Raw genomic sequence first — 11,469 nt, 5'->3', positions numbered from 1 at the left:
ATCACACTCTGGGGACTGTTGTGGGGTGGGGGGAGGGGGGAGGGATAGCATCGGGAGATATACCTAATGCTAGATGATGAGTTAGTGGGTGCAGCGCACCAGCATGGCACATGTATACATAGGTAACTAACCTGCACAATGTGCACATGTACCCTAAAACTTAAAGTATAATTAAAAAAAAAAGAGAAAAAAAAAGGTTAAAATCTTAAAAAAAAAAAATTACATAATTTGGAATTTATCTTAATAATAGAGAAAGCCATCCAGAGGGAGAAACATTGCATTATTAAAGGAAGTACCATTTTAAGATTTTTATCTTTGAAGTGTGCCTCCATCTGGAGTGTACATAATTTATAGAAAGGCAAGACCTAATTTTGAAATGAAAGAGTAAGGAATTCAATCAAGTCTTTCCTAACAAAAGTAATAATAAACTGGAAAAAAAAAGTGGTTGGAAACAACTATTTCAGAATCCTGGATATTGACTGTTAGGAACTGAATGTTTGTGTCCCCCCTACCAACCTACAATCTATATGTTGAAATCCTAACCTCCAATGAGGTGGTATTAGGAAATGGAGACTTTTGGAGATAAATCAGGTCATGAGGGTGGACCCCTCATGGATGGGATCAGTGCCTTTGTAAAAAATACTTTAGAGAGATTTCTAGCTCTCTTTCTGCCACATGAGGATATAAGGAGAAGTTGATGGCTTGCAACCTGAAAGAGGGCACTCACCAGAACCCATCCAGACTGGCAGTCTGATCTCAGGCTTCCAGCCTTCAAAACTATGAGAAATAATTTCTGTTGCTTATAAACCACCTAGTCTATGCTACTTTGTGATGGCTGTCCAAATTGACATTAAGACAAAAAGAAAGGGAAACCTGTATTTGTGAAAACCTAATGAATATCAGATAAGAACAGCAGTATCTTATCTTAGCCTATGGCTTCTTGCATTATCACTACCCCAACAAACTCCTTCAGCATAATAGTTCCAGCAGGGTGGGGAAAGTGGTGGAAGTCAGCTGCTTTTCTGCCAGAGGTGGCTGATGTAATTTAGAGCTGGAAACAGAAAAGCACATGCCTGGGGTATTGTCTAAAATAATAATGATCTTAGTGTCAAAATGTCATGAAATTCAGCATTGGGGTTAGCCTAATATTGACATATTGGATAGAACAAGCAGGAAACTGGCACACTTATGAGATATTTACTAGAGAGGTTGGAGAAATGAAATAGTGATGCTGAGCCTTGATAAGTTTCCACATATCCCTGAAAGTTCAAACAGTTATGCACATGCACAAGACTGCATGAATGCTCAGAAGTCAGGGAAACCCATAAGTATCTACTTGTCCCTGGATGAATACAAAGCCTTGCACATAAGCAGCATAGACACAAGGATGTGTGGATGAAAGTAAAAGCTGGAACAACTTCTAAACTGCCTGTCATTGACAAAAGATGAAAAACTGAGTGGCTCAAGATAATGCAGCATAACCTCTCTAATCATTGAGTGACCATTAACCATGTTCAACCAGAAGTGACCTCTAGTACACCAAGATTAAATATAAGAAGAAGAACTAGCAACAAGAAAAACCCTAACAGAGTCACTGGCAGCCGTATATTTCAGGGAAACAGATTTTACAGAATTAGCCTTGTTAGGTCACTAAACAAATAAAAATAATACAAACAGTAATAGCAGCAACAATAACTTCTCAGAGAGAAAGAGAAAAGAATCAGGAGTTGCTATAATATATTGTCTAAAATGTATAACTTTAAACAACAAAAAAGAGATGTCCTGTGAGGATTCAGTCAGGCTGGTGGGAAAAATTTTAGTTATAATAGCTACAAACCCTCTTGAAAGGTCTGAGAGTTTGCAAAACTTTGGTAACAGATCTGGCTGAAGGCAGCCTAGTCCCTTTACCTTTAATTAGATAAACAAAAGTAAATACAAGGGAATGTGGGGGATTTTGTCTAACTAGCTTGTTTACTCATGTGGTCCTAAGACTAACACTTGTTCTACCATGGGTGCTTAATTCCTTTCTACTTGAGAAGTCTGCAATGTCAATTACCCTCTAGTGGTGTTGACTCAAGCCTTTGTCAATTAATCTTTACTAAATAAATGCAAGTCTTGCTGGCTGCTGACTCTTTACAGCACTCTTCTTGGAGTCTGTAAGTGGCCCGGACACTCAGCCGGACTGGCAAAGCAGAATATCTGTGCCAGTGTACGTTATTCATCCATCACTGAGTCAAGATCTGCAGGACAGGCCTCCACAATGTCCCACCCGCCCAAAAAAGGAAACTGACTCAGACACAGGAAGAAAAATAATCGATAGAAATTATTGATAAAATGTCACAAATGACAGATTTATCAAACAAACACTTCAAAGTAAATACTAAAATATATTGAAATAACTAAAGAAAAACGTGTTTTGGAATTAAAGGAGGTTCTGGTTCAAGATGGCTGACTAGAAGCACCTAGTGCATTCCATCTCATGGAGAATAAACAAAGTGGCAAGTGAATACTAAGTCTTAGGATCACCTAAGAGATCTTGCTGAGATTCACCAGAGAAGCAAGTGGACACATGGAGAACAGAGAGGAGTGAAGCCATGAAGCCAAGTAACTGCCCACCCAGGACCATGCAGAGCTGGGGGAATCTCCCTAACAAAGGAAAAGAGTGAGTGAGTGAGAGTCCCCTGGGGATCCACACTTCTGCCATTGACATTTGTAATCCTGAGCACAGGAAAGTCCCCTATACACCCTTACCCCACCCTCCAGACCAACACAGAGAGCCACCTGGAGTCTATGCAGAGTCACTGCTCAAGCCCACATGGAATTTCACTGGCCTTTGATCCCTGAACAGCCTGGTGCCAGCTGCCACTGCCCTGCCAAGAAGGGAAGCAAGGTACTTTTGCATGTCCATTGGATAGATGTTATAGCCCAGGTACTGAGGAGCAGCGAGACTGCATACCATGTGACACTTCCCCTCCACTGCTTCTCACCAGGGGGTGCTCACAGGTTTAGGCCCCCAGCACAGCTGCCCCGCCCCCACTTGAACACTGTGGTCACATCTCTGCATTCCTCTGGGAGCAAAACTCCCAGAGGTAGCTGACAAGCCTTTTACAATCTCTGCTGGCACTTTCCCCACCCCCTATGGGGGGATCAAGGAGGTAGGGCACATTTGCAGACCTCTAGCACTAGACACCATAATGGAGATGTAAAGAAGCAGTGGGCATACTATGCCCCAACAACTTGCTGCCTCCACTGCTCTCTGCCAAATGGGGTTTCCACCTTCCAGCCTCCAGCACACCCACCCCACCCACACCTGATCACTGTAGCCACAGCTCTCTGTTCCTGATTACATAACTCCCACAGGAGTTCTCACAGGTGGTTGGCAGGCCTTTTGTGATCACTACTGCCTCTGTCTCTACCAACCCCAGGTCAAGGAGGGAACAAGGAAGCAGAGTACCTTCCTACACCTCCAGCATGAACAGCACAGCTGAGATATGGATGAGCAGTGGGCTGCTGCATGGTCCATAAACCCCTGCCTCTGCTGCTCCCTGGAGAATAGGACTCACTGGCTTCCAGCCCCCAACACACCCACCCTGCCCCCACCTGAACACTAAGGCCACATCTCAGTTCCTCTGAAAGCCCTCAGTTCCTCTGAGGTCAGCAACAAGCTTTTCACAGTTGTCACTACCACTGCCTTCACCCCTACCACTGCCTCCACCTCTTCCACCCCTAGGCCAGCATGGGATCAAGGAGGTTTGGCACTTTTGCTTGTCCCTAACAGTGAAATCCAGTGCCACTTGTGTGAGAGGAAAATGCAAGTGTGCCATGCTCCCCACAGCTGCCGATCTCCATTGTCCCAGCTGAAGAATCCTGCCCTCACCAGTGAAATGCCCACAGCACAGATGCCCACCCCTCCTGAGCATTTCAGCTGTGGCCCAGATCACTTCAGAAAACCCAACCCCACAGGCACATGATCTTCCCTTGGGCTTCCACTGCCTAAAGGTTCCACCTGCCCTCACCTGAGAGTTCTGCCAGTGATCAAGGGACTAGCCTGCCTCTCCCCATCACAGCCAGCACCTGAACTCTGGGTTAACCTGACTTAGGTCCAGCCCCTTCAGGACTCGTACACACTATCCAGTGGGCCACCTAGAGGCCTGGGAACTAGGGAATTACTTAGCCCATTCCAACACTACTGGCACCTGACCATTTCCCCAGGGTCTGAGGTCAGGCTGATCCAACCAGTCAACATCACCACAACCAACACCCACCCACATGTGCCCAAAGGTGGAGCCCTGCCCCATCCCCATGAAGCAGCAGCATTACTATATAAGAGAACAGGTGAGCCATAAAGCTATCTGTATTGGGCAGAGTGAAGAAGTTCCACCCCCAAACCACTCCCATAGAGAGTTACAAGATAGGTATTTCCCATGGCTCTCCACCACATTGTATTCTGGGGATAGACTACAGTGTGCATCTGAACTGGGAATCACAAGCCCCAGGAAAGGGCATGATAGGGAAACAGATAATGTTCCTTCTATCTAGGACATGGAGATGGTGCAATCCCCCTCAGCCCCCACACAGACAGAGCATTTTATCAGAAGCTCCCCTCAGCCACCTTCACCAGGGCTGGTGCCCATAATTGCCATTGGTGTATTTGTGGGCAAGCAGGGGGGTCCAGCTCTGCCAAGGTGTGGCCCCTGACCCCATGGAAAAGAAAGCTCAGGGTGCCTAGCCCTCCACTGTCTAGCCTGTCACTAGAAACAACACAGAGCACCTCACAATAAATGAAGATCAAGTACTGATGTGGTTTTGCTCTGTGTCCCCACCCAAATCTCATGTCAAATTATAATCCCCATGTGTCAGGGGAGGGACCAGGTGGGAGGTGATTCAATCATGGGGGCAGATTTCCCCCATGTTGTTCTCATGATAGTGAGTGAGTTCTCACAAGATCTGATGGTTTAAAAGTGTGGCATTGAAACTGCCATTGCAAAATTGTGACTTAGACAGTGAAAGAGATCTAACTTAACTGACTGCATCTTGCTTCTAACCTCCAAAATGTCCTTGTTCATTCCTGGGCATAGGCAGAGCTAACTTTTGGAGAAACTAGTTTGCAGTTTATAGTTTAAAACAAAGATGATAACAGTCCTCTCCCAGATTAGACCTTCTTGGCCGGGGACTAGATTGCCTTTGTAGGACACAAGATTAAAAATTGGAGGTTTAGGAGTTATGCAGCTGGAGGCTACAAGTTTCTGACCCTCCCTAAACTGTTCCTAAGGTCATTGCTTGAGATATTTTGCAGACCCTGCACTTGATAGATCAGCTGGCACCACCTGGATTGATAAACTGGCTCATCTGATCTTGTGGCCCTCACCCAGGAACTGACTCAGTGTAAGAAGACAGCTTCGACTCACTATGATTTTATACTGAACGGGTCAGCACTCCTGGATCACTGACTCCCCTCAATCCACTAAGTTGCCCTTAAAAACTCTGCTCCCTGAATGCCTGGGGAGACTGATTTGAGTAATAATAAAACTCCAGTCTCCCACACAACTAACTCTGCATGAATTACTCCTTCTCTATTGCAATTCCCCTGTCTTCAGAAATTGGCTGTGTCTAGGCAGCAGGCAACATGAACCCATTGGTTGGTTACAGCATATCCCTCCTCTCTCTCTCTCTTTCTCTGTCTCTCACCTGCTACCATATGAAGAAGGTCCTTGCTTCCCCTTTGCCTTCTGTCATGATTGTAAGTTTCCTGAGATCTCCCATTCTTCCTGTTAAGCCTGCAGAACTGTGAGTCAATTAAACCTCTTTTCTTCATAAGTTACTCTGTCTATGATAGTTATTTATAGTAATGTGAAAATGGACTAACATAAATATGTACTCTTTTGTTTGTGCCACAGCTGTCTCTTACCTGTAAGCTCCTATAGGTCAAACTGCACAACCCAATATAAAATGAGCCAACAGAAGTGCATAGGGCTATAGAAGCAAAGCCAAAAGACCTCACACAACATATTCTACAGTCTCACCCTGCAGGGAGGTGGGGGGAAAGGAGAGAGAGAAAAATAGGGCAAGAAAAAAAATCTTATCTATATGAAAATAAATTTAAAAATCAGAAGTGGCAGTCTCTCCTGATGAGAAGGAACCAGTGTAAAAATTCTGGCACCATAAAAAATCTGAATGTTGTGACACCACCAAGGGACCACAATAGCTCTCCAGCAATGGGCCCTAATGAAAATGGATACTCAGAAATGACAGATAAAGAATTCAAAGTATGAATTACAAGGAAACTTAAAAAGATCCAAGAAAAGGTTGAAAATCAACACTAACCAAATACTAAAGCAATCCAGGAAATTAAAAAAAGGATAAGAATTTTTAAAAAAATTAACCAGAACTAGTGGAGTTAAAAAAAACACTAAAGGAATTGCAAAATACAAGTAAAAGCTTTATCAATAGACTAGACCAAGCAGAAGAAAGAATTTTAGGGTATAAAGACTGATCTTTTGAACTAACTCTGTCAGACAACAATAAAGAAAAAGAAATTTAGAAAAATGAACAAAGCCTTCAAGAAATATGGGATTATGTAAAGTGACCAAGCCTACAAATTATTGGCCTTCCTGAGAGAGAAGAAGAAAAAGTAAACAATGTGGAAAACATATTTGAAGAAATAATTTAAGAAAATGTCCTAATCTTGCTAAAGAGGTAGACATCCAGATAACGAAATACAGAGAGGCTGGATGCAGTGGCTCATGCCTGTAATCCCAGCACTTTGGGAGGCCGAGGCAGGCAGATCACTTGAGGTCAGGAGTTCGAGGTCAGCCTGGTCAACATGGTGAAACCCCATCTGCACTAAAATACAAAAATTAGCTGGGCATGGTGGTGTGTGCCTGTAATCCCAGCTACTTGGGAGACTGAGGCAGGAGAATTGCTTGAACCCAGGAGATGGAGGTAACAGTGAGCCGAGATTGCACCACTGCACTCCAGCCTGGGTGACAGAGTAAGACTCTGTCAAAAAAAAAAAAAAAAAAGAAAGAAAGAAGGAAAGAAAAAGAAAAAAAGAAAAGAAAAGAAATACAGAGAACACTTGCAAAATACCATATAAAATGAACATCACCAAGGCATATAGTCACTAGACTATCCAAGGTCAATGCTAAAGAACAAATCTTAAAGGCAGCTAGGAAAAAGGAACAAGTTACCTTCAAGGAAAAACTGATCATACTAAAAGCAAATTTCTCAGCAGAAGCCCTACAAGCCAAAACATATTAAGGACCTATTTTTAGCCTCCATAAAGAAAAAAAATTATCCAAGAATTTTATATCATGCCACTAAACTTCATAAATGAAGGAGAAATAAAGTCTTTCCCAGACAAGCATTAGCTAAGATAATTTGTCACCACTAGACTGGTCTTAGAAGAAATGCTCAGAAGAGCTCTAAATATGGAAACAAAAGGATGATACTAATAATCAGAAAAAGGATATATAAATACAAAGCTCCCAGATCCTAGAAAGCAACTATACAATTGAAACTCCAAAACAGTTAGCTAACAATACTATGTCAGGATCAAAATCTCACATATCAATATTAACCTTGAATATAAATGGCCTAAAGGCCCTGCTTAAAAGATACATGGTGACAAATCAGATTTTAAAAAGACAACTCAACCATCTTCTATATAAAAGAAACCCACTTACCAACTAAAGACACATTCAACCTTAAACTAAAAGGATGGAAAAAATATATTTTGCACAAATGGAAAAGAAAAGCAAGCAGAAAAATCCATTCTCATATCAGACAAAAGACACTTTACACCAAAAAAAAAAGTTTAAAAACAGGTAACAAAAAAAGGCATTATTGATTATAAGAAAAAGATTGAAAACCAGAAGATTTAACTATCCTAAATATATATGCACCCAACACTGGAACACTCAGATTCATGAAACAAATACTATTAGGCCTAAGAAAATAAATTGATAGCAAAACAATAATAGTTGGGGGTTGGAAGGGGCAGGCACAGTGCCTCTTGCCTGTAATTCCAGCACTTTAGGAGGCGAAGGTGGGAGATTGCTTGAGTCCAGGAGTTTGACACCAGCCTAGGCAACATAGTGAGATTTGATATAACATAGTTTGGATGTATGTCCCCACACAAATCTCATATTGAAATCTAATTCTCAATGTTAGAGGTGAGGCCTGGTGGGAGGTGATTGGATCATGGGGGTGAATTTCTCATTAATGGCTTAGCACCATTCCTCTTGGTACTGGCCTCATGATAGTGAGTTTTCATGAGATCTGATTATTTAAAAGGGTGTAGCGCTTCCCTTCTTTTCTCTCTTGCTCCTGCTTTTGCCATGTGACATGCAACCTCCCTTTTAGCCTTCTGCCATTATTGTAAAATTCCTGAGGCCTCCCAAGAAGCTTAGCAGATGCCAGCATCATGCTGTCTGTACAGCTTGCAGAATCTTGAGACAATTAAACCTCTTTTCTTGATAAATTACACAGTATCAGATATTTCTTTATAGCAATGCAAGAATGAACTAATACCTCACCTCTACACATAAAAAAAGAAATTAGCTGGGCATGGTGGTTACGCCTATAGTTCTGGCTACTTGGGAGGCTGAGGTGGGAGGATTGTTTGAGCCCAGGAGGGTAAGGCTGCAATGAGCCATGATCATTCCACTACACTCCAGCCTGGGCAACAAAGCAAGACTCTGTCTCAAAAATAAAATAAAATAATAGTGGGGAGCTAGGTGCAGTGGCTCATGCCTGTAATCCCAGAACTTTAGGAAGCTGAGGTGGGTGGATCACTTGAGGCCAGGGGTTCAAGACCAGCCTGGCCAACATGGTGAAACCCCATCTCTACTAAGAATACAAAAAACTAGCCGAGCATGGTGGTGTGCACCTGTAATCCCAGCTACTCAGGAGGCTGAGGTACACAAATCACTTGAACCCAGGAGGCAAAGGTTGCAGTGAGCCAAGATCGCACCATTGCACTCCAGCCTGGGTGACAGAGGAAGACTCTGTCTCAAAATAATAATAATAATAAAATAATAATAATAATAGTGGGGGACTTTAATACCTCACTGAAATCACTAAATAGATCATTGAAGAAGAGAATCAACAAAGAAACTCTGGACTTAAACTGAAAAATATACCAAATGGACCTAATAGACATCTACAGAACATTTTACCCAACAACTGCAGAATATACATTTCTCTTATCTGCACAAAGACTACCCTTCAAAATCAAGCATATGCTCAGGCATAAGGCAAGTCTCAATACATTTTTAAAAACTGAGATTATATCCAGTACCTTCTGGACCACACTGGAATAAAATTAGAAATTAATACCAAAAATACTCTCAAAACTACACCAGTACATGGAAACTAAAAACTTGCTCCTGAACAACTTTTGGGTAAAAAACGAAATCAGGACAGAAATTGTAAAAATTCTTTAAAATAAATGAAATAGAAACACAACATACTAAAGTCTCTGGGATACAACAAAGGCAGTGCTAGAAGGAAAGTTTACAGTGTTAAATGCTTACATCAAAAAGATGGAAATATCTAAAGTTCACAATATAATGTTGCACCTGAAGGAACTAGAAAAAACAATAAAAAACCAAACCCAAAGTTAGTAGAATAAAATACATACCTGAAATCCAAGCAGAAATAAGTGAAATTGAGACAAAAAAACACAGTGTAATCAATGCAACAAAAAATTGTTTCTTTGAAAGAATAAACAAAATTGACAGACCACTAGCTAGACTAAGAAAAAAAGAGAAAATTCAAATAAGTACAATCAGAAATGATAAAAATGACATTACAACTGACACCAAAGAAATACAAAAAATAAGAGACTACTATGAACACCTCTATGCACACAAACTAGAAACCTAGAAGAAAGGAATTAATGCATATAAACATACACTCTTATTCAACATAGCACTGGCAGTCCTCTCCAGAGCTATCAGGGAAGAAAAAGAAATAAAGGCATTCAAATTGGAAAAGAGGAAGTTAAATTGTCTCTGTTTGCTGACAACATGATTGTATACTTAGAAAACCCTAAAGACTCCTCTAGAAGATTCCTAGACTTGATAAGCAACTTCAGAAGAGTCTCAGGATACAAAATCAATGTACAAAAACTAGTACCATTTCTATACACCAATAATCTTCAAGCTGAGAACCAAATTAATAACTCAATTACATTTACAATAGCCACACACAAAAATAAAATACCTAGAAATACACTTAATCAAGGTGGTGAAATATCTTTACAAGGAGAACTACAAAACACTGATGAAAGAAATTGAAGATGACCCACAAAAAATGGAAAAACTTTCCATGCTCATGAATTAGAAGAATAACTATCATTAAAATGACCTCATTATCCAACCAAAGCAATCTACATATTCAATGCAATTCCTATCAAACTACCAATGTCATTTTTCACAGATTTAGAAAAAAAAAGTCCTAAAGTTCATATGGACCCAAAAACAAAAACAAAAACAAAAACAAAAAATCCCAAAGAGCCAAAGCAATCCTAAGCAAAAAGTTCTAATTTGGAGGTATTACATTGTCTGACTTCAAATTATACTACGAGGATATAATAACTAAAGAAGCGTGGTACTGATACAAAGATAGACAATAGAACAGAATACAGAACCCAAAAACAAAGCCACGTACCTGTAACCAGCTGTTCTTTAGTAAAGTCAACAAAGACAAGCAATGGAGAAAGGACACTCTAATCAATAAATATTCAATAAATGGTGCTTGGAAAACTGGCTAGCCATATATGAAAGAACAAAACTAGACCCCTACCTCCCACCATATACAAAAATTACCCCAAGACGGATTAAAGACCTACATGTAAGACCTGAAACTATACAAATATTAGAAGAAAACCTAGAAAAACTCTTTTTAATATTGGCCTAAGCAAAGAGTTTGTGATGAAGACCCAAAAGCAATTGCAATAAAGACAAAAATAGGCAAATGGGACTTAAACAAACTAAAAAGCTTCTGCACAGCAAAAGAAATAATCAACAGAATAAACAGACAACCCACAGAATGGGAAAAATATATTTACAAATTATGCCTCTAACCAGAGATTTATATCTAGAATCTACCAGGAACTCAAGCACCTCAACAAGAAAAAAGCAAACAACCTTATCAAAAACTGGGCAAAAGACAGGAATAAACAATTCTCAAAAGAAGAAACACAAGTAGCCAACAAACACATGAAAAAATGCCCAACACCAATTATCAGAGAAATGCAAATTAAAGCCACAAGAGATACCATCTTACACTAGTCAGAATGGCTTTCATTAAAAGTCATAAAACAGATGTTGGTGTGGATGCAGAGAAAAGGGAATGCTCATACACTGTTGGTGTGAATGTAATTTCAATCTCTGTGGAATACAATATGGAGATATCTCAAAGAAATGAAAGTAGAACTACCATTCAACCCTGCAATCCAGCTAC

Source organism: Homo sapiens, chromosome 14 (genome assembly GCF_000001405.40).
Source record: "Homo sapiens chromosome 14, GRCh38.p14 Primary Assembly".
NCBI classification, from domain to species: domain Eukaryota; kingdom Metazoa; phylum Chordata; class Mammalia; order Primates; family Hominidae; genus Homo; species Homo sapiens.
Note: the sequence above shows the minus strand (reverse complement) of the source record.